Below are 23356 nucleotides of genomic sequence, written 5' to 3' on the forward strand. Positions count from 1 at the left end.
TTCAGCAGCCTCTTCAAAGCACAGATTTTATGTAAGGAAAATGACTGACATTTATTGAGTGTTTAGTTTCAACCAGGCACCATCAGCCTGTGAGACAGAGGCTGCTGTGACCCCACAGGAGGCAAGGAACAAGCTTGCCCCGTCACACATCTATTAAGCGACACCATTGTGTCCGAGTCCAGCGGCCCTCCTCAGAGCCTGGGCGTGTTGCCGCCAGGCTGTGCATCCCCTGTGAGGTCCGGGGAGGCCAGGACCCTGGTGCGCTCTTGCAGGCGGGGGCAGGAAAGTGGAGGCGTGGAGGTGAGGAGGGCTTGCGGCAGGCTGGACTTCCCTCCCTCATGCTGTAGGTCTCAGGCCACCTTTGAACGCGCAGCCCTGACCCCCTTACTCACCTTCCAAAGGCTCCTTGCTGCCCACCTGAGGTCCAGCACCTTGGCAGTGTGTCCGGAGCGTGCAGGGACTGGCCCAGCCCACGTCTCCCGCAATTTCCCACTCGCATGGGCAGGGGGCTCTGGTGACCAAGATCCCTGGACCATCCCTGCTTCCATGTCTGCTGTGGCAGGAGCCCTGTCCCGGGAGCGGCAGGCTTGGGGAGCCCCCACTGCTCCTGTGCCCCCGGCAGAGAACATCGCTGCCTCCCCTTCCTCCCGCGTGTCTCGGATGTGCCCTCTCTGCTGTTCACACCAGCTGGGGTTGCTTCACTCTATTCCAGTGATACCCCTAGGCTAGACTGAGGCCTCCTGGCTCCACCCTGTACCTCTGGGGCCCGGCCCGGGGCAGGGGCTCCCTGGGCGGCTGTAGAACTGGCCTGGGTTGATGTCTATTAGGCACCTGGTGAGCCGCCGAGCCATGCACCCTGGTCCAGGCTCCTCCTGGAAGAGATGATTCTTTCCCCATCAGACTGGCCTTGGCCACCATGTTGAAAGTCAGTGGACAGAGACAACGGGCCTGTTTGTGGCCCTCAGGTCTGCTGCACGGGTCTGGCTGTCTCTCCCTGCGCCACGCCACGCCACACCGCCTTGCTGCTGTCGCTGTGTGCTCGGCTTGGAAGCTGGAGTCCTCCTACTTGGTTGTTCTTTCTCGAGATTCCCTTGGCTCTTCTGGGCCCATGTGTTTCCACATGTATTCTAGAATAATTCCGTCCCCATCTATCTACAACAAAGTCAGCTGGGATTCTGATGGGGATGGTGTGGAAGGTGTAGACCAGCGTGGGGGCATCGCCAGGCCACTTCTTTGCTTTACGAAGTCCACCTTCTAGGGTTCTGTCAATCACTCATTCATCCACTCAGACATCACTTTTCGCTATAGGGCTTCAGTGCCCAGCACTGTCACTGCCATCAAGGAGCCCAGCCCTGCGTGGGGGGCAGTGAGGGTGAGGGCAGGGTCCAAGGCTCCGGCAGGGTCTCTACCTGGCTGAGTGGGGGCCAGTGCCAAGGAAGAGCTTTCTGGGGGTGCTGCAAGCAGGAGAACAGTGGGACGGGGTGGGCAGTGTGGGTTCACTCAGCCAGGAGATCTTCAAGCCAAGGGACCTGGGTGTCCAGGAGGGGCCTTTCCTCTGCCTCACTTCTCTGAATCTATAAATGACAAATACTCCTTGAAGACATCAAACAGCCAACATTTCTCTAAATATTTACACAGGGCTTACATGACTCATACATCAAAACAGGAATTCAACAGATTACATTTCCCCAGATATGTAAACATTGATTATAATGAAACTCTTCTAAACATTCAGTTAAAATCATGGAAGTAATCTATCTATCTCCTTATTGCTTTCAACACTTCAAAAAGCAGAACATACGGTTTTGGATTTCAAGCCTAAAAATCCGGCGACATAGTGGCCTGTTAATATTCCTTTCATTGTCTTATCTGTTCTTTGTTCCCTCCTTCCCCTTCTCCTGCCTCCCTCCCCCTCTGCCTCCCTGTCCTCCTGTCTCCTGGAGCCGCCACTCCTGGGTGACATTCTGGTGTTACAGTAACACCTGCCTTCACTGACACCTCCTCTGGTCCCGCAGGGTGTCCGTGGAGTCTGGAGAACATGACATGGACCTGGAGTGTCTCCCAGATCTGCAGCCCCTGTGCAGCTGAGCTTCCTTTCATTGTTCAAGTTCACGGCTTATGCTGATAGACTCTTTGGGCTCTCATCTTTCTCTGTTTTGCACCCTGGTGTTTTCTTTAGGATGTGTGTCTGTCTGAGTCACTTTGGGCTGCTGTAAGAATACCACAGATGGGGACCTTAAATAATAGCTCTTTATTTCTCATAGTTCTGGAGGCTGGGAAGTCCAAGAGCAAGGGGCTGGCAGATATGGTGTGTGGTGAGGGCTCCCTTCCTGATTTGCAGACGGCGCCTTCTTGCTGTGTCTCACATGGTGGAGAGAGGCCATCTCCCTGGAGTCTCTTCTCATAAGGGACCACTGTGAGGTCCCACCCTCAGGACCTCGTCTGACCCTAACCACCTCCCAAAGTCCTCACCTCTCAATACATGTGATATGGTTTGGCTGTGTCCCCACCCAAATCTCACCTTCAATTGTAGTTCCCATAATCCCTGTGTCTCGTGGGAGGGACCCAGTGGGAGGTAATTGAATCATGGGGGCGGTTACCTTCATGCTGTTCTCGTGATAGTGACTGAGCTCTCAGGAGATCTGATGGTTTTATAAGGGGCTTTCCCCTCTTTTGCTCTGCACTTCTCCTTACTGCTGTCATGTGAAGAAGGACGTGTTTGCTTCCCCTTCCGCCATGATTGTAAGTTTCCTGAGGCCTCCCCAGCCATGTGGAAGTATGAGTCAATTAAGCCTTTTTTTTTTGAATAACTTACCCAGTCTCAGGTATGTCTTTATTGGCAGTGTGAGAACAGACCAATACACCATCCCACAGGGGATCTGGGGGCGATGCAAACCTTCAGTTCACAGCAATGCCTTGTGGTTTTCCTCCCTGGGGTTCCCTGGCCCAGACTGTTATATGTGGACTGGTCATTAGCACTGGCATGGTGTCCTGTCTTGGGTGCTGAAGGACGGAGCCTGTGAACAAGCTGTGCCTTTTGGGATGTGGGCTCGGGCAGGCCACTCTGGGGGCACCGTGGTCTCTGGGATTTGGAGGCAGGTTCTGGAGCAGGCCCTGCCTTCCTACTCTTAACACAGACACTGCTGTCTCAGTTTCCTGCAAACACTCTTCTCCTCTTAGACAGAAAAGCAAATGTGTATCCAACCTTTATAAGCAGACAGAAGCTTAGTTCAACAAATGGACTACCCATGTATATTCAATTTCTCCTATTTATTAAAATTAATAAAAATGGGACGTGTTGTATGAGACCCTTTACTGTCACCATTTCTTAGGCTATATCCATAATGGAATGAAGAGACCCCTGGATGCTGCAGCTTGAAGGAGCTGGATGATTGCTGCTCCCACCTAACAGTCCTGAGCTGATTGCTCCAGGTCGATGGTCATGGCCACTCAGGGACCCAGGTCTCCCCATGTTGCTCCCACACCGAGGCCATGGTCACCTGGCAGGTGCAGGTCCAGCCTACGGGAAGTGGAGAGGAGTGAGAAGGATGCAAGGCCAGTATCTCCAGCCCCATCCAAGCCTGGATGTGGCACAGGCCAGAACAGACTCCTGGAGCACCTTCATGGCTGGGCCTGAGGTGGGTCCGGCAGGGCAGCCCTGGCCTAGTTCCCTCCCTAGGAAGAAAGTCTGCAGCCCGCACCATGAGGGGTGGCACGCTGTGTGTTAACTTTCCTCCTGTGAGGAGCCTTACGGACCGAGAGACCTTCTGAAACTCAACTGATTTAATTAATCAGTGTTGTAATTATTATTGTTTTTGTGCTCAGATTATTATAACTTGGCAGGAGGGAGAGCCTTCAAGCAGGATGCTTTGTCCTTCCGGAAGAACCCCTGGTGTCTGGAAAGCATCCTTGCTTTCTGGCAAAACAGGATGTTCTAGGTGGTTCCGGCTATCTCCTCCCTAGAATGTGGAGTCGGCGGCCCTCCAAGGATCCTTGCCACCTTCCATTGCAGAGGAGACTCCAGGCACAGGAAAAAGTGACCCGTGGCTCTTTGTAGACATAGGATTGGAAAAAATGGTCTTTTTATAAATATCAATAATTTTCATAATTTTCCCAATTGCACATGTAATGCTGCTGCTGCTCTTTTCCCCAGTACTAGGGCCCTGTCACATGGACGTGGGGTAGGCCGTGATCTTGGAGCCAGGAGCACAGGAGGGCTGTGGGGAGGTGGAGGCCGGGGGTTGCAGCTGCACTGATGTGCAGGGGGCTGGGTCCAGGCCAGCTTTCCTGTCTGCACTGCCTCCTTCATCCCGACCCCCGTCCTGACCCTGTGTCCCTGGAGAGCTGCCTCAGGGTCACTGTCCAAGGGGCCTCTGCCCTGGTCACAACCCTCATCCTGTTCTTGTGGTTCCAGGACACCCTGCTGAGCCGTTGTGGACCTCCGTGGACCCAGGATGCCCAGAGCCACAGAGCAGACACCTGTGTCTTCCAGGGCCTTGCTCAGAGCAGGCTGCGGGGACAAAGAGCATTTCCTCCCTTCCTCCCTCCCTCCCTCCCTGCCTCTGTCCCTTCCTTTCTCCCTCCCTCCTTCCCATCATCCCTCCCTCCCTCCCTTCTTCCCTCCCTTCTTTCCTCCTCCCTCCCTCCCTCTCTTCCTTCCTCCCTCCCTCTCTCCCTCCCCTCCTCCCTTTCTCCTTCCCTCTCTCCCTCCCTCCCTTCCTCCCTCCCTTCTTTCTCCCTCCCTCCCTCCCTCCTTTTCTCCCTCCTTCTTTCCCTCCCTCCCTTCCTTCCTCCCTGTCTTCCTTTCTCTTCCTCCTTCCTTCAGTAATTTATTAACCAAAAACTCCCTATTGAGCACCTACTGTGTGCAGTGTAAGAGGCTAGCCTGTCTGGCTGAGCTGAGCCTAAGGCGGAGGTGACCCCTCCTGAGAGCTGCGCCACTCTCAGAGCAGGTAAGGGCTCCCATCACACAGGAGGCTCTGAGGCCCGGCATGCACTGGCTGTGCTGTGGACTTGCGCATGTCCTAGGCACAGGCTCACACCTGAAGCCCGGCTCTAGCGGCCGAGACAGCCTTGACAAGGGCTGGCTCCTGCCAGCCAGAATAGAGATGAGCCAGAAGCCCCAGGCTGCCTCCTGCAGGAGGCGTCGAGTCCCGACGTCATCCACAGAGGCACAGGCACGTTTCCTAGGCACACATGCGCCACCCCACCCCCCACCACAGGCGCATTGCAGGCGGCTTTCTGAGAGGGGACAGCACAGGGAAGTGGTGAGCTTTGGCATCAGGATGACCAGGGAACCCCGGGCTGCGACCAGGGCACAGGCTACCAGCACTCTGCCTCTGTGCCTCGTATCCATGACATGGGGCTCACACTAACAGCACACACTGCGGGAAGGATTAGGTGTGATACTCTGGGCCAAGTGTGGGCACGGGGAATCGAGAAATGGCTCGGTGGCCCACGGCTGCCATCAGCATTGTCGTATGGCGAGGATTTTATGGTTTCACCACGATGGGTGTACATTCTTCAGACAAGGGCGGACACCCGGGAACCCGGAACCTGTCCCGCAGCTGTGGAGCCAGCATAGGTCCCACCGCCCCAGGGACAGGCCCAGCTGCTTGTTCTGGGATATGGGGCTGCAAATGTTGTGAACTTCCCAGGGGGCTGAGAGAGGCCAGCTGGGGACTCCGAGGACAATGGGGAGGTGGGGAGGTGGGGAGGTGGGGAGGTGGGGAGGTGGGGCTCCAGCTGGGGAGGAAGCATGGGAGGGTGGGGACCGAGGTCCCCAAAGTCTTCTGCAGACCCTGAGATTCTGAGATGTACGCTTTAGAACACGACAATGGCTTAGTGACTTTCACTCAGGGACAAAGCCCCCAGCAGAGTCAGCATCCACGCTCCTAAGTGTCAGGTGCCTCTGGGCCGCCTCTCTACGCTGTGCCTGCCCCTGCCTCTGCCAACGACCTACCCCTTAGGTTCTGGCGAGAGAGTCCCAGGCTTTCTTTACACCAGGGCCAGGGCTGCTCAGATCTCCTGACACAGCCACCTGCTGGGCCTCAGGGACACTCAGGCACCCTCCCCCTGGAAAGGCCACCTGGGTTGTGGAGACAGACAGGCACAAGTGTGGCTCAGAGCTCTGCCTCCCTGGAGCTGCCTCCTGACCACTCTGGGTCTCCATTTCCCACCTGTAGAGAGGCGAACAACAGCACTGGGCATGGGGCTAATGTGGAAAAGACCCTGTGGAATCTGCATGTCGCATGTGCTCACCTTGTGTTTCCGGAAGGATTCTCAGGCTTGAGGCGTGGGAGTGAGGAATCCCAGCCAGGGCTGGGCCACCAGCAGAAACCTGCAGGGAAGAGGACCTGGTGTGAGGAGTGGGCTGCAAGGTGAGGAGTTCTGGGGACTAAGGGGGTGGGATCTGTGCTTCATCCTGGGAGGTCATTCAACAGGGGCCTGCCCCCAGGAGCAAGTCACCTGCCTGGTCGCTGCTATGGCGACATAAACACCAATGACAGGCAGGCCCCGCTCTGGACGCTGGCTCTGTGGTTTTAATCTTTCCCAGCTCTATTTTACGCTGTTTATCAGCATTTATGAAGGACAGGTATGCCTTGGGCTGTCCCCAGGAATCCTGCTATCCTCATTGTGGGTCTAGATGGCTCCAGACTGGTCTCCTCGCTGCTCCATTGCTGCAGTGGGGACCCAGTGAGCACTGGGGGCCGGGGCTGATGCGGCTGGAGCACAAGCACGCGGGGTACATTTGCAGCCCCACCCAGCCGAACGGTGCACAGCAGGCCGGGCTGAGAGCAGCGGGAGGAGCCCGGGGCTGGGGGTTGACCTTTTCCCAACGTCCACGTCAGTGCTGGCAGGCGATGGGCTTCTCTGTGGCCGGTCCCTCTCTGGCTCTCTCCAGGTTCTGCATGTGTCCTGCTCTCTCCTGAGCACCTGTCACGCCCCTGAGGCTTGCTCACTCCTCTGTCTCGGGGCTTGCAGAAGAATGCTTGGGCAGGTCTCTCTAGCACCAAGGCCCTGCTTCTCCCCAGCCCATGGTTTCCGGTGTGGACCTGCCAGCCTTCCCGGTGAGCACAGGATGGTGAGAACCTGCAGCAGCCATGTAGGTGGGGCTTCGTGGAAGGCTGCGTGGGTACCCAGGCTCTCTAGGGTAGCCTATCCTGCACACGGCTTGGTGTGCACAGAGCTGACTTGGAGGTGAAATGGATGCATTTTGTAGATTCAATACCCTGGATGCCCCACCCCAGGGATAGATGCGCCACAGAGGGCCTGGCTGGAACTTTCCCCAGACCACAGCAGGGACAGCTCTGTTGCAGGTGCTGACAGCAAGGCCTGGGGAGTAGAGGGAGCAGTCAGAGGCAGAGAGACGGAGGTGAGGCACAGTTCTTCCAGATCCTAGAATAAAGGAGAGGAAAATATCTGTTAGAAAATCCGCTGCAGCACCCCCAAGAGGCGCAGTTTGGTGCCCGTGCACTCCCGCTCTCCCTGCAGCTCGGGAGCTGCTGTGCAGTGGGGGAAGCCGAGACCCCCACAGCTCTGTTTTGCTCTCAGTGACAGAAGGCGTGGTAAAAGCTCTGTGTCCAGCCCTTGCCTGAGTTACATCACAATATGAGGAAGCTGCAGCTGGCCTGTGGTTCACTGTTGACTAAGAACAAGGCAAGCTAGGAGCAGCAGAGTGAAGCCCAGGCCCTGCAGAAAATAGCAGCTGAGGGTGAGGAGGAGAGGAGGGTGAGGAAGGTGAGGAGGTGAGGAGGTGAGGAGGTGAGGAGTGAGGAGGTGAGGAGTGAGGAGGTGAGGAGTGAGGAGAGAGGATGTGAGAAGGTGAGGAATGAGGAGGTGAGGAGTGAGGAATGAGGAGTGAGGAGGTGAGGAGTGAGGAGGTGAGGAGTGAGGAGGCAAGAGGTGAGGAGTGAGGAGGTGAGGAGTGAGGAGGTAAGAGGTGAGGAGTGAGGAGAGAGGATGTGAGGAGGTGAGGAATGAGGACGTGAGGAGTGAGGAATGAGGAGTGAGGAGGTGAGGAGTGAGGAGAGAGGATGTGAGGAGGTGAGGAACAAGGAGGTGAGGAGTGAGGAATGAGGAGTGAGGAGGTGAGGAGTGAGGAGGTAAGAGGTGAGGAGTGAGGAGGTGAGGAGGTGAGGAGTGAGGAGGTGAGGAGGTGAGGAGTGAGGAGGTGAGGAGGTGAGGAGTGAGGAGTGAGGAGGTGAGGAGTGAGGAGTTGAGGAGTGAGGAGTTGAGGAGGTGAGGAGGTGAGGAGGAGGGAAGTTGAGGAGGTAAGAAACTGAGGAGTGAGGAGTGAGGAGGTGAGGAGTGAGGAATGAGGAGTGAGGAGGTGAGGACTGAGGAGGTAAGAGGTGAGGAGTGAGGAGTGAGGAGGTGAGGAGTGAGAAGGTGAGGAGTGAGGAGATGAGGAGTGAGGAGAGAGGAGGTGAGGAGGTGAGGAGTGAGGAGGTGAGGAGTGAGGAGTGAGGAGGTGAGGAGGTGAGGAGTGAGGAGGTGAGGAGTGAGGAGGTGAGAAGCTGAGGAGTGAGGATATAGGAGGTGAGGAGTAAGGAGTGAGGTGCCTGGCAAGGGCTGACTCTGCAACCATTTCTGTGGTCTCCAAGTACCTGCTCCTCACCTTGTTTCTTTCCCTGAAACTCTCAGGCTGCCCGCACAGCAGAGGCACCCCAACCCCTTCCCAATTCTGTCCCTGGCCTGGTGCTGGGATGGCAGGACCTGAGCTTTGTGGCCTCTGAATCCCAGGCCCCCTGGACTTTGCCCTGCAGTCTGAGCCTGGGTCACAGGGTGCCCTGAAAGGCCTTTCCCCAGGCAGGGCGGATACGTGGGTGCCAGACAGGTCCTGATGAGCCCCAGGATCCCCGCTGGCCTAGCCCGGCCTTGCGTGGTATCTGCTATGGGCGTCCGGAAGGGTCCGGAGTTATGGGTGCAGGGGATGGAGCAGAAACGGCCATGACAGAGAGGATGGAGATGTGGGGTTCAGAGATGTTGGAGGGGGCATGGGCTCAGGGCAGCCTGGGCAGAGGTTTCGGGACGCATCGTCCTCCAGACAGCATCTCCGCGTCGCCCATTTCCCGTGTTAGGAATCCACAGATTCATTGATTTCACCAGCATCTGCTGTTTAAGAAGCAAGCTCTGGACTGGACTGGATTTCTTGGCCACTTCCTCATCTCGGTGCAGCGGAGAGGAGAGGCCAGACTCAGGCCTGATCCAGCTCCCCTGACCCCAGCCCTGCGTACCCTCAGCTCGGCCCCCTCTTCCCACAGGCTTGGGACTCGCTCTGGGGGGCCCTGCTCTTCCCAGGGGTTCCTGGGGGCTTGAGGAGCCTTCTGCCTGCAGCCACAAGCGTTCCTGGGGGAGCAGCTGACCGGCTCCAAGCCTGGCTGACTGAAATGAAATTCAGAAGAGAACTTCATCGCCTCCTGCCCCCGAGCCCGCTTCCCTCACTCTAAATAATTTAGACAAACACACATCTCTTTCACAGTGGCTGCCCTGAGCTCCTTTAGTCAAAATCAGTCCTTTGCACAATGTTTTCAGAGGACAGGAGGTTGCCACGAGCCGTGGATTCGGGGCGGATGCATCATGCGTGACGGGAGACAGCTGCTCCGGCCCCGCCCAGCCCCAGCGGCCGCAGTGGCTGAGAGTAAGTCACCTCCGCCTTCTCCTATCAGCAAGGGTCTCCTGCAGGTCCGGGCGGGCCGCTTGCTCAGTAGACTTATATGCAGTTGGCTTGAGGTTCGGCGGTCCTGGTCCTGCCCTGCAGCAGAGCCCCTCATTCTGGGATTTGGGAGCAGTCATTCCATGCTCCCTGCTTGGAGGTGGGCTGGAGGTGGACGTTCACACCTGTGACTGCGCCGGTGCCCCGTGCCTCCGGGAGGACAGCTGGGGGTGCCTAGAGCACAGTGGGTGTGCAGGGCGCAAGGCCTGGGTTCGCTGGGCTGGGGGTGCGGGGCTGGGGTCGTGTGTGTTGTTGGGGGTGGGGGATGTGGGTGCCTGCCTCTTCTCTCACCACTTCTGACCTATGCGTGCCTTCTTTTTTTTTTCTATTTTTTAGTCTTTTTTTTTTTTGGCGGGGTGGGGGAGGTTGTCTCATTCTGTCGCCCAGGCTGGAGTGTAGTGGCTCAATCTTGGCTCACTGCAGCCTCCATCTCCCGGGTTCAGGTGATTCTCTAGCCTCCCGAATAGCTGGGGCTATAGGCGCACGCTGCCACACCTGGCTAATTTGTGTATTTTTAGTAGAGAGAGGTTTTCACCATATTGACCAGGCTGGCCTTGAACTCTTGACCTCAAGTGATCCACCCGCCTTGGCCTCCTGAAGTGCTGGGATTACAGGTGTGAGCCACTGCGCCCGGCTCAACTTTTTAGTCTTCATAGACTATTTTTTGGAACAGTTTTAGGTTACATCAAAATGCAGAAGAGAGTCTAGAGAGTTTGCCCGCGCCCCACCCAGTTTCCCCGTTATTAGCGTGTGCCGTTTGCATGGGGCATGTGTCACAGCTACTAACCCGATACGCATGCATCATTGTGAACTATAGCCTAGCTGGATTCCAGTCTCCTCCGTCCTCGGTGTCTTCCTTGGGCGCAGGATCCCGCCGGGACCCCATGCCTTGGTGCATTTCCACTCCCCTCTCTCCTCGGGATGGTGATCTCTCCCCTCCTGCCTCACTGTCCTCTCTTCCACACGTAGGGAGTGAGGAGTTATGCACCCTCTCTCTGAGGGTGGACTTCAAAGAAAGGTTAAATCACCTTTCTGCTCACTGGCTTGGCCAGCATTTGTCATCATAGGTTCAACGGTGGCCACCCAAAGGCGCCCCAGTGCCTGGAGTTGTGCAGGGGTCTTATTTGGAGAAATGGTCTCTGCAGCTGTAATTAAGGATCTTGAGATGAGGAGGCAATCCTGAATTATCCGGGTGGGACCTGCACCCAGTGACACATCAGGAGAAATTTTTTTATATGAGAAAATGTGAAGGGAATTTGAGACAGACAGAGGAGGAGCAGCCCGAGGGGAGGCGTTGTGTGCAGGCGGAGGCAGGGACGGGGCGATGCACCACCGGCTGAGGAAGGACCGCGGCCACCGGGAGCTGGAAGACGCAGGATGGAGCCTCCCCTAGAGCTTTGGAAGGAACACAGCCCTGCCAGCATCTTCGTTTTGGTCTTTGGGCCTCCAAAGACCAAAATCAGGCTTTTGAACAATGTTTTCGGAGAACAAACAGGAGGTTGCCACGAGCCATGGCAGGATGAATGTCTGGTGTTTTAAGCCCCCATTTGGTTACAGGAAAGCTATCTCATCAACCTGGCCCACAGGGCTGGCAGCCCCTCTTCCTGGGGAGCGGTGGCCGGCCTGGGCCTGCCTGTGATCGGTGCTGGGGCTCTCTGCCATCTGGGCCCCTGCTGAGACTGAGCCACAGCCACCACACCAGCCTTTCCACAGAAATCCCACATGGACACACATCTACACACCCTCACGTTCTAACCTAAATTTCCAGAACACCAAAATCAGCCTCAGGCTCACAAATACAGGCAGAATTGGAAAAGAAAAAAAGAAACTTAAATACTTAAAAACAATAGGGGCTGGGCGCGGTGGCTCACGCCCGTAATCCCAGCACTTTGGGAGGCCGAGGTAGGCGGATCACAAGGTCAGGAGATCAAGACCATCCTGGCTAACATGATGAAACCCCATCTCTACTAAAAATACAAAAAAAAAAAAAAAATTACCTGGGCGCGGTGTCGGGCACCTGCAGTCCCAGCTACTCGGGAGGCTGAGGCAGGAGAATGGTGGGAACCCTGGAGGCAGAGCTTGCGGTGAGCCCAGATCGCACCACTGCACTCCAGCCTGGGTGACAGAGCAAGACTCCATCTCAAAAAAACAAACAACAACAAAAAAAACCACACACACACACAAAAAACAATAGGTAAGATTCCAAAACAAGCCATTGTGAGGCAGGAGAGTGGGGTCTGGAGGCAGGGAGCCTGGGGCTGTTTCATGCTGGCTTCCAGAAACTGAGTGTTGTGGGGAGGCCCCCACCTCTCCACACCCAGGTTGATGGTGGGGGCGGACAGGCAGGAGGGATTGGGGCTGCTCCCTTCGCAGGCGTCACAGATGAAGGGTGGAGGGGACCTCTGATGAGTCCCCTCCGGCCTTCAGGGCTGGTCATGGGCCACTACTTCGTCTGCGTGGGGTGAGGCCAAGTAACGGATGGGAAACCTCTAGAGGGTATTTGGACTGCAGAGAGTTCTGCGGCCAGGGCCCTTGAGCCGCTTGCCCCAGCTGGCTCCCGCTCTGTGGAGTGTACTTTCATTTCAGTAAATCTGTGCTTTCTTGCTTCACTCTTTCGTTGCTTCGTTTGTGCATTTTATCCAATTCTTTGTTCAAAACACCAAGAACCTGGGCGACTCGAGGTCAAGACCCTCCACTGGTCACAATGGGCCTGCAAAGACGCTGAGGCTGTGTGTGTCCTGGGTGAGCCCTGGTTTTAGGGCCTCCCAAAGCACACCCAGGAGGGGATTACAGGATGAGGTGGGTGGGATCATAACAGGGGGAATATTTTGTTACTGGAAATGACTTTGGTGCAGAAGACCGGTTCCCGGGAGCACAGGGAGTGGAAGCTGGACTCTGGAGCTGGGAGGTTGGGTTTGAATCTGCTCTACTGAGCAGTCACCCGGGAAGTGACCAGATGATGGGACTTCCGTGCCTGAGTTTCCTCAGCTGCAAAGTGAGAACCAACCTCAGAGGATGATGCTGAGGATCTGTGAAGGGAGAGGGTTCCTGAGGCCACAGGTGCATGTCCTGGGCAGGATGCCCGACCCGCGTATGTACTCTGCTCACGTTGTGATTCTCCCCCAGCACCTCCGAACCCCAGCCAGCTGCAGGATTATTCCAGAAGGCCCAACCCTTGTCCTGCTGCAGTTCGGAGCCTCCTGAGAAGAACAGACACCCAGACACTGAAGGAGAAAGTGTGACGTTGGGACAGGGCCGGAGGGGATATCGGGGGGGGCTTTTGGTGGGGGTGTGGCTGGACTCGGGGTGCAGAACACTGTGGTCCTGTGACTTCCCACTTCCCTGCTCCCCTTGCTGCAAACTCCGTTCCTTTTGTAAACAGGCCCCACAGCCCCACCTCCCATTCTCCTTGGGACCCCCAGTCAGGTCCCCTCCCCGCAGCTCTGCTGGACGGTGAAGGCCGCGGGCCCCACGCTGGGCCTGGAGGTTGGCTGGTGGCCCTCCCAGCTGCGGAGGTGGGGTCGCCCTTTTCCTCAGTCTGTCTGTAGGTTTCCACGTGCCCCTGATCTTCGTGTTGGCCGCGCCTGTGCTTCTCATCCTCTCTCCACTGCCCTCGCTCCTCCATCTCCTCGCCGCCCCACCTCCTCCACCCGCCCCGATCACCGTTCACCCCAACAGCCCCAGCGGCGCCTCGAGCTCCAGATGCACCATCCGCCTACACGCCTGACACCCTGCTTGGACACCGAGGAAGCGTGTTGAACTTGATGTTTGGGGCCCAGCCGCTCCTCCCCGAGACCCACTCATGCCCCTTTCCTTGCTGTTGTGAGATGGGATGGTGTTGCGCCCTCAGATGCTTGTCCTCAAACCTCTCACAGCATCAGGATCATTCGGGGTTTCCCTGTCACCCACGGTTTCGGCAGCTCAGTCCCCCGCCTGTGTTCTCCAGGTCCTGGTGCCGTGCGTGGACCCCAGCTGTGCACCTCCCCCACAGCTATCGCTGCCTCTGTGGGGAACGTGCTTCACCTGCCCGCTGGAGGGCCAGAGGCACCCCTGCTCCGGGCCAGTGGCGGAAGGGGCAGGAGTGTCAACGCCCTGGCTGCTGCCATCAGTGGGGACACTCCGATGTCCAACTTGCACTGCCCCAGAGTTCCCCTGGGGACTGGCTGGCATCCCCGCTCCTGGAGCTCCTTCCCTTCCCAGTCCGGCTCGTGTTCCCCAGGGGATTGAAGCCACACAGGTCCTCACCCCAGGCTAGCCTCACTGCAGGCAGACACCCACTTCGGGGGCTCACTGCATCCCAGGCTCCCCCTACCCTCCATCCCACCACGGCTAGGTGGTCAGGCGGCCCGTCTCCATTTCTGCGGATCTGAGACCTCCAGGGCCTGTCTGTGCTGGTCGTTTTCTTTGTCCCGTGTTACTGAGTATGGGAATGCTGGCGGGCACCCTGAGACTTATAGCATCCTCCTGGCCCCCGTGTCTCTGAGGATTTGCTTAGCACCCAGGGCAAGCCCTTTCCTGTCTGCTGGCTGGAAGGTAAAGCCCACCAGAGGCCTGACAGCAATCTCAGTTCCTAACCTGCAGGGACCACAGCTGTTTCCTAAGACAGCACTCCTCCCACCAACACCGGACCCTCCAGGTCGTCCGGCCCAGAGCCACGGAGGGCGGCTGAGCACTGTTTAATGGGTTATTTGAGTAACAGTTCGGGGGCTGCTCTCACCTCCTGCCTGTGGCTCCCAATGGAGTGTACTGGAAATGGGGGAAATGGCGCCAGGCATTAGTCATTCACTTAAAGCCTGTGCCCCATCCCCCTGTAGAATCCAGCTCCAGAGCTGGTCTCCTGCAGGCCCTTCTATTCCTCCATCAGGCCAGCTGTGCCCAGGAACGGCGTGTAAGTTAGGCCCACGAAACCCAGGGACAAAAGCCCAGAGCTACACTTTCTTTCAGAGAAAATTGAGTTTCTTGGTCAGAAATAATGTTGGACGAGATACCTCGGGAGTGAATAGGTGTTTGCAGGACCACAGACGACGATGCTGACAATTGAATGGGATTTGGGAAAGGCAATTCACATCCCAAACACGTATCTCCTTCCACGAGGGCATTTATGGCTGAGGACAAGCATCCAGCCTCTCTGTGCAGGTGTGGAGTGACAGCCCCAGCTTCCTCGCAGCCTTTCCACCGGCCCCTCCATCACGAGAAGGGGCTACCAGAATCCACCTACCAATAGGGCAGCCTGGGACAGTGCCTCGTGGGAGGTCAGCATTGGCCTGGGCTGTCAACAGGCTGGACATACAAGAATGAGGGCAGCTAGGGCGGCCTTCGTGAGGGGGTGTCCGTGCTGTTGGCCCCCCACTACTGCACTGACCCTTCATACATGACCATTCAGACACATGCCCTCATATGCACTAAGGCAGCTGGAGAGTGAGGCTGGAAGATATCCACATGAGAAGGCATCTCGTCCAGCTCATCACCGAGACCCCCACTCCCGGGGGTCCAGCCACACACCTCTTCCCACACTTCCCTTGTCAGCAGCCTTGAAACTCGCTCTTTTCAAGTTCTGAACAGTCATTACAGTCACATGTCCATGGGTTCATGTGACCTGGATCCCGGGACATCTTTCTTCCCTAAGAGACAACGGGCGCCCTAACCTTAGGGGGAAAGACTTGAGAAGATTGCAATGAAGCTGAAGTTGTCACTTTGCACCCTGCACAGGGAGACCCCAGGTCTCATCCTCAGCCACCAGTGCCCTCTGGATTTTACCTGCTGGTATTTTGATCTGAGGCACTGAAAGTCAAAACAGATAAAAAAGATCAGAGCAGAGATCAGTGGCGTTAACAGTAGGTTTAATTAATGGCGGAATTGATACATGGATCTATGAGCTTTACCCTACCACCCACCCCCCCCACACACGTGTGCACACATATGCACACACACACATGCACACACACTCATGCACACACATACACATACGTGCACACACACAGGCACGCACACAGGCACAGGTGTGCACACACACTCTCCAACAGAAACAAACCTCCAGCCCATTTGAACAAGAAAAAATGAATTCTAAACCAGCAAACAGAAAGGGAACACAAAAATAGACCTGAAGAGGTTCTAAGTAACTAATCTACGCATTCTGATAAAAATGATATTTTCTTGGAAAATATGGATGATCAAGATCACGTCAAGACAGGAAGAAGAAAACCTGAATATGTAAGGAAGATATTGAAGAATTCTCACCATTGCCTCTTCCCACAGCTTTAGGGTCTGGTGGTTTTTCCAGTGACTTCTTTTAAACATCAGAAGAACTGATGATACTAGAGCTCTATCAATTTTTTTTCCAGGGGAGAGAAAAAGATGGAGAACCCCCTAATTAATTTTTATGAAGCTAGGTTCATGTCAAAATCTGTAAAACATGACATACACAGACACACAGACTACAGAACTAGCACATCACGAATATAGGCTCAGAACCCAATCAAAATACCAGCAGATAAAATCCAGCATCACGTCACGGGAGAAGATTAATCTTCTGTAACCAAGGAAAGCTTATTCTAGAAATTCAAAGGTTGTACATTCAGAAAAACAATAAATCACATAAAAGAGTAGGATAAGGAAAATAAACTGCAGTTTTATTAGATTCATACATTTATACATTTATTTCTAAATATTTGTCGGGCACTTATTAAATGCCAGATACTGCTAGATGCTGATAGATTAATATAACATATTAATTAATTAAATCCAACTTCTTTAATTTAAAAACAAAGTTTTGCATGCCAGAAAGAAAAGGCTGTCTCCTTAATCTGACAAAGAACACGTGTCTAAAACAGTTGCCCAAAAAAATGAGCCTGAAGCATGGCACATGTTTCTACTGAGATCAGTATCAGGGTGGAGCTCGTGTCACAGTGATTATTCCACATGCTTTTGGGCTGGTCAGGGTAATCTGACATGAAACCCAAATGCGAGGCATGGGAGTTAGAGAGAGGAATATTATCCATTCCTTACCCCATACGGCTATGCACCAAGAAAGCTGAAATGGGCCAGGCGTGGTGGCTCACGCCTGTAATCCCGGCACTTTGGGAGGCCGAGGCAGGCGGATCACAAGGTCAGGAGATCAAGACCGTCCTGGCTAACACAGTGAAACCCCGTCTCTACTTAAAAATGCAAAAAATTAGCTGGGCGTGGTGGCGGGCGCCTGTAGTCCCAGCTACTCGGGAGGCTGAGGCAGGAGAATGGTGTGAACCCAGGAGGCAGAGCTTGCAGTGAGCTGAGATCGCACCACTGCACTCCAGCCTGTGCGACAGAGCGAGACTCCATCTCAAAAAAAAAAAAAGAAAGAAAGAAAGAAAGAAAAGAGAAAAGAAAGCTGAAATGGTTCAACCACAACAAAACATTCTGGAAGTACCGAGCACATGGTCGCGGCAGGATGGGACTCCATGGATGCTGGGCAGGTGCGGGTTCTTAGGCCTTAACAGCAACCAGCGTAAAAGATGAATCAAGCCTGAAGCACCATTTATGAGAGGAGCCACGCGAAAGATGGAGGAGTGGTCTAGAAGCACCAGCGTGGGAGCTGGATGGAGACTGGACTCTTTCCCAGGAGGCCCTAGGAGGCCAAGTCTGTGCAGTGGTGCCATCTTCCCCGCGAAGCCAGGCCGGGTGCGGGAGATGCAGTGCATGCCCTTAGTGCATTCCGGGGCCACATCTGGTTTTGTTCTGCAACTGTAAAGCATGCCTGGCAGGGCTGTTGAGGACCCAGCGCCCGCAGGGCCAGGCAGGTGGTGGCGTGAGCCGAGAGGCCAGAAGGTCTGGGGGGGACTGGAGGCCACAGTCCATCTGGAGGTGGGGCTGGGTGGGTGGGAGACTGGCAGGAGTTGGGGGGGATGTTGAGGTGGAGAGGGGGGTTTGGGGGGCTGCTGCTTCCAGCCAGCTGTGCTGAGCGGGTGTAGGCCCTAGGTGGGCTGAACTCTGGATTTTTTAGGAGAGGCCAGACATTTGGCTGGTTGGTAAAATGTCCTAGTTTTTAAATGTTGATGACGAAGTGAAGTTTAAAACTAACACTTTACGGGAGTTGGAGAGAACACAGGACAGGCTCACGTTGCGGTGTTCTGCACTGCACAGTGACCTCACCTCTCTGCTTGGTCGCAGGATTGGCAGTCGAGCTGCGGTCGTGTGAGTCATACAGAGCGCTCCCCGATTTGTCTCTTCTGCATGTCTTGAGTGACAGAAATGTCTGATGCTCATGTAACTGCATGGGGTGCTGTTTACAGTTCAGCTCTATGTGCTGTGCCCCCTGCCACACACCCCAGAACTCTGCAAGGGATCAGGGCAGTCCTGGGACGGGGCCCTGGGGACGTGGGGCCGCAGAGGCCTGGAGCCCGACTCTGTCTTGGGTGTGAGTGGCTGTGGTGGGTGATGGGAGAGGGGAGGCAGAAGTGACCAGCTCCACCTGGGTCCCTAAGGCCCTGAGGGAGGAGGTGCAGGTGACAGGGAGCACCCACCGGTGGGGGAGCACACCATGGAGGTGTGTGTGAGCCGCCCTCTGAGCCCAGAGCAGGTGCCATGAGGAGGCGGGGCAAGTGCAATCCCTTATGGTGAGCAGGAGGTGGCTAGGGGACAGGTAGTGGCAGTGGGGGTGATGGGGGCCTGGGGAGGGTGGGAGAGGAAGCTGGTGCAGGTGGGTGCAGCCATCCTGAGATGACCGGACGCCCACCCCCTCCCTGGCCCAGGCTCTGTGGCCACAGTCAGACCTCCCTGAAGGCCCCTGTCCACGCGCTGCCCCTTCTGGCTGTGTGACCAGGGGTCATTCACCACCAGCCCTCACATCCCACAGTAAGGAGCCGGCCACATGTTTCAAATTGCACCCAAAGAACAGGAATCGAGGCCACCTAGGTGACAAGCACTGCTTTAAGGAATATTGAAAATTGTGAAAAATGATCCCGATAGTCTGTGATGCCGACAATTTTAAAAAATCACACAAGCAATAGGAGCATCAGAGGCTTTGATTATTGGTAGAAGAACTTGAGACACACCTGCGTGCCTGCCGTGGCCTGAGAGCGTCCCCAGAGGCTCACGCGGTGGAAGCTGGATCCCACGGCCGGCCGCGGTGCTGAGGGGTGGGGCCTGGAAGAGGCGGTGTGGTCACGAGGGCTCTGCCACCACGGGTGCATCGGTGTCGTGATTGTGGGGGTGGGCTTGTTAGGAAGGTGAGTTCCGCCCCTTTTGTTTGCGGCTCTTGCCACGGGAGGACGCAGTAAGGCCCTCTCCAGGGACTGCCTCCACCTCGACTTCCCAGCCTCCAGGACAGTGAGCCAAATAAATGTCTCTCCTTTATAAATGACAGTCTACGGTATTCTGTTGTGGCAGCACAAGATGGACTATGACAGTGTCTGACTCTGGGCAGTTATCCAAGGAAATCTAAAGTCTGCGATGCAATTCAAAGTCACGCTTCTGACGGACAGGTAAGGCCACGGGGACATCCGTGGTGCACTGCTTGCTTTGAAATGGTCAACCCGAGGACATTATTTTGAATCCCCGCCCCTGACAAGCCTCCAGGACGTCGTATGAGAAACTGCGGTGTCTCTGGGCTGCTCGGAGAGGCGTGTGGCAAGGTCGGGGGGCTGGTGGCCTCTGCAGCGTGTGATTCCTGAAGCCCACATCATCTTCTGTCCTGTGCAGAAGCGGGTGGAGGAGAGGGCCTCGTCCAGGGAGGGGGCCGTTGGGAGCTGAGGTGCAGGGGAGATGGCTTATGCCCTTCTCAGGACAGATGCAGGGGCTGCCCAGCTTCCACCTGGAAGGCATGGGAGTTTGGATTTGGTTCATGGTGGAGGCCTGTGAACCTTGCCTGGGCTGTGGGCAGCAGGGGAGCCTGAATTCCGAAAGCTCCCCATCGTGGGATTGAACCAGATTGTGGGCAGGAGGTAAGGGGGGATGGCCGGGCAGGGACAGCAGGTCTCCAAAGGATACGGCGGCCTGGGCGTGGGTCGGGCGGCAGAGGTGGTGAGAGCAGATGGAACGCCAAGTACACTCGGAGGCAGAGCCGGCGGGATGTGTGGAAGCATCACTGAAGTTGGGTGTGAGAAGGTGGCGCCAGGGATGGCTTCGGGAGGCGGCACTGCTGGCCACGGCCACCCACAGGATCCCTGCTTCAGAAGCCGGGCAGGGTATGGGTGAGTTCGGCCAGTGACGTGGACAGGAGGGCACATAGCTATCCCCTTGGGTGGCAGCTTTGAGAGCCAGAGTGGTGAAGCCTCTGTCAGCCTGCGTCCTCGAGGGACTGCGTGAATGGGGGTGGGGCGCTGGCTGTCCTGCTCTAGTCCCTGGGATTCGGCTTGAGGGCTACCGCAGTCTGGCCCGGCCGGCCCTGACTGATACGGGCTCTGAGGTTTCCAGGTCTGGGCAGGACAAGGTCCCTGGTGACGGAAGCAGGTGAGCCTCCTGCAGGAGAGCAGGCTGAGGTTGTGGGATCTGGAGTTTTGCTGGGGACGTGTTTGCAGCAGAGTTGGGATTTGCAGGGGAGGGCCGGGCTAAGCTTTCACTGCTAGAGTCCTCTGCATGTACACTGTGAAGCCATAGTAATCCCACCGGCTGACGTGTGTCTGTACTCACCCTGTGCAGGGCCCTTCTGAACGAGTCTCACCTGTATTAACTTTGGGTCCTTGGGGCAGTATCAGGGAGGCTCTGTCCTCGCCCCATTTTACCCACCACGGAATTGAGGCACAGTGAAGCCAGGGCAATGCCGAAGGCCTCTGGCTCATCCTGCAAGGACTGGGGTTGAAACCCCGGGATCTCGCTCCAGGGATCTTACACACGACAACTTCACACCCGGCCCAAGAGCAGCGCAGAGGAAGGTGGCCCCAGGGCCCTGCCATGGGGAGCTACGGTGTCTTCCAGGCAGGCCACTTAGCTGAAGGCTGACCAGGCGGCAGCGAATTCCAGGCCCACCGCCACCCAGCCTCGCGACTGCAGCGGCCCAAGGCTCCTGTTCACTGACTGCACCCAGTTTCCTGCAGGTAGGGCTTGGGGGCCTTGGCTGTGTCTTTGTTCTTTGGATGCCCAGGGCCCATGTCAGGGGTCCGTGCTTCAGCGTCGACTGTTAAATAATCATAAGGAACTTTCCAATTCCATTATGGGGGAAATGGAGTTTCCAAAGACGAGGAGATGAGCCAGGCCCTGCCAGACAGGGCGCAGGCTTCTTTCCCGCAGAATGGCTTGCACTAGGCTGATGATGCCTCACGATAGTAAAGAAACAGGTGTTTCCGACCCACTTGAAAAATAATTTGAATAGCTGAGTAACATGAATATTTCCATGCTGCCTCCCATGTAAGGAACCTGCCTGCCTTATCTCTAGGGTGCTGATCCCTGCCTATGTCAGCATCACCCCAGGAGAGGAGATTCCTGGGCGCCCACGGCCATATCCCAGGGTTTGGCATAATGGGAGAGGCAGCGGGCCAGCCAGGACTGGCCACTTTGTTTCTGCATGGCCTCTTAAAATGATGCTCGCCATCTTATAAAATGCTTTGAAGGTTGAGTGAACTATGCTGAGAGTATCCAGCACACCACAGCCGCTCAGCAAATGCTCCTTCAAGGGTTAGGCTCACCTGCGGTCAGCTGTGGGGCTATGGGAGTGGGATGTTCATCTGCCCAAACCAGCGCTGTGTCATTTATACCCCTCTGGCTGAGCGGAAGAGTCCCTGCAGGTCCCTGCCTCACAGCCCTTGCTGTTGTTAGATGTCTTACCTTGGGCTACCTGGCAGGCCTCACAGGATACCTCATGGTGGTATTAATTTGCAATTCTTAATTTGCATAAGGGTTGAGGTAATAATGGATGAGTGTTTAGCTGCCATTTGTATTTCTTCTTCTGTGCAACCCTGTTTCTGTCTTTATGTGCTTTTCTATTGTGTCACTGTTATTTTCTTGTTGGTTTGTGAATGCTCTTTACATGTTCTGGACCAAAATCCTTTGTTGAGTTATGTGTGTGGCACTGAGTATATTACTGTCTTTTCACTTTCTTTCTGGTGTCTTGTTCTTTTTTTTACCATAATCACTTAAATATCTTTTGCATCAAAATCTCAGCTCCATTTCGTTTCCTTGTAGATATTTCACCAGGCATTTTTTTAAAAAATAAAGAGAATACATGCTGGATTATAACGAACAGAAGTTACTACCTTCATGGAGCTAAACGGATCAGTCATTTTGCTATGGTTGGTGGGTTGTGTGGCTTGCTATGAAATCCTTACCCAATCTGAGGTTATAAAAATAGTTTTCCTTTTTTTCGTTTTAAAGTGTTGTCTTTCACATTTAAAGCACTAAATTACCTAGATGTGAGTTTTTGTATCTGTTGTGAAGAAGGCAACCAGTTCGTTCTCACGTGTACCATAACCATTTTCCCAGCATCGTTTATGAAGGGAGACCTTCCTCCTGGTGCAGACCTGTGGCCCACCCTGCTGGGGTCATTTCTTTATGTGGTTGCATCCCTTTCTGGGCACTCTGTTACTTTCCATTGGTGATAGTGCCCATCCCTGCTCAAAACCACCTACTTTAAACATATTATAACTTTACAGAAATGCTTGTGATCTAAAAGGGCAAGTCCTTCTGACTTGTTCCTTGCTCACTAACTGATTAATTTAGCAAATATTTACTGAGAATTTGCTAAGTGCCTGGCTTGGTCCTAGGCTCTGTGCAATCCATCCATGAATAAAACAAATAAAAATCCCTTCTCTTGCTCAGGAAGAGGCAGGAAAAAAATCATAATAAATAAGTAAATTAAATAGTATGCTAGAAGTCATTAAGTTATACAGAAAATAAATAGAGGATGAGTGGGATGGGGAGAGGGGTGGGAAGTTAGCAATTTTTAAGTTTTATAATTCTTATACCATAATACATAATTCTATGTTTTTAAATTTTATGATTTACATACAATAACATGCACTGCTTTTAACTCTACCATTTGGTGAGTTTGGGTAAGTTTATGCACCTGCAGAGCCACCCCACACTCAAGACATGAAGCATTTCCGTCACCTCAGAAGCCTCTGCATCCCTTCCCTGTCCGTCCTCCCCCAGCCTCAGGCACATGCTCTGGGTCACCCAGGTTAGAATTATCCTTCTGGGATTTTCTCTACACAGACCCATGCAGTATGCACACTTTGGTGCCTGGCTTCTTTGACTAGCATGCTTTTAGGATCCATCTGGGTCTGTGCACAGGGAGTTCCCCGTTTTCACTGCCGACCAGGACTCTGTTGTATGGAGGGACCACATTGTTTTGCTTATTCACCTGTTGATAGACATTTGGGCTGTGCCCAGTTTGGGACTATTGCGAATAAAAAGCCTTTGTGCACAAGTCTTTGCATAGACATGTTCTGGATTGTATAGTGTGTTAGTCCACTCTCACACTGCTATAAAGAACTGCCTGAGACTGAGTAATTTATGAAGAAAAGAGGTTTAACTGACTTACAGTTCTGCAGGCTGTATAGGAGGCATGGCTGAGGAGGCCTCAGGAAACTTACAATCACAGTGAAAGGGCGAAGTGGAAACAGGCACGTTTTCACATGGCAACAGGAGAGAAAAAGGGGGGGGGTGTGCTACACACTTTTAAACAACCAGATCTCATGCAAACTCACTAGCACCAGAACAACATGGGGG

At 54.8% G+C, this 23356-nt stretch overlaps 1 long non-coding RNA gene across 1 annotated transcript, besides 4 other annotated features; it reads right to left on the reverse strand.

Annotated features, from left to right (window-relative positions):
• Nucleotides 1–502: an enhancer, noted in NCBI's record as "H3K4me1 hESC enhancer chr4:3672069-3672570 (GRCh37/hg19 assembly coordinates)". NCBI's record gives its function as "activates a minimal SCP1, AML or CMV promoter by ChIP-STARR-seq in naive H9 embryonic stem cells {active_cell/tissue: H9 hESC(naive)}" and the evidence as "EXISTENCE:reporter gene assay evidence [ECO:0000049][PMID:30033119]".
• On the reverse strand, nt 3252–7514 carry LINC02171 (long intergenic non-protein coding RNA 2171). Its single transcript, NR_034136.1, has 3 exons — nt 6830–7514; nt 6262–6340; nt 3252–3520 (listed from the first exon to the last, which is right to left on the reverse strand). It is a non-coding gene; the product is annotated as a long intergenic non-protein coding RNA 2171 (long non-coding RNA).
• Nucleotides 4961–5255: a silencer, noted in NCBI's record as "tiled region #9480; HepG2 Repressive non-DNase unmatched - State 13:Ctcf, and K562 Repressive non-DNase unmatched - State 13:Ctcf". NCBI's record gives its function as "represses a minimal TATA promoter and a strong SV40 promoter by Sharpr-MPRA in HepG2 and K562 cells {active_cell/tissue: HepG2 | K562}" and the evidence as "EXISTENCE:reporter gene assay evidence [ECO:0000049][PMID:27701403]".
• Nucleotides 13295–13854: an enhancer, noted in NCBI's record as "H3K4me1 hESC enhancer chr4:3685363-3685922 (GRCh37/hg19 assembly coordinates)". NCBI's record gives its function as "activates a minimal SCP1, AML or CMV promoter by ChIP-STARR-seq in naive H9 embryonic stem cells {active_cell/tissue: H9 hESC(naive)}" and the evidence as "EXISTENCE:reporter gene assay evidence [ECO:0000049][PMID:30033119]".
• Nucleotides 13855–14412: an enhancer, noted in NCBI's record as "H3K4me1 hESC enhancer chr4:3685923-3686480 (GRCh37/hg19 assembly coordinates)". NCBI's record gives its function as "activates a minimal SCP1, AML or CMV promoter by ChIP-STARR-seq in naive H9 embryonic stem cells {active_cell/tissue: H9 hESC(naive)}" and the evidence as "EXISTENCE:reporter gene assay evidence [ECO:0000049][PMID:30033119]".

The sequence above is a fragment of the Homo sapiens genome, chromosome 4 (assembly GCF_000001405.40).
Source record: "Homo sapiens chromosome 4, GRCh38.p14 Primary Assembly".
NCBI lineage: Eukaryota > Metazoa > Chordata > Mammalia > Primates > Hominidae > Homo > Homo sapiens.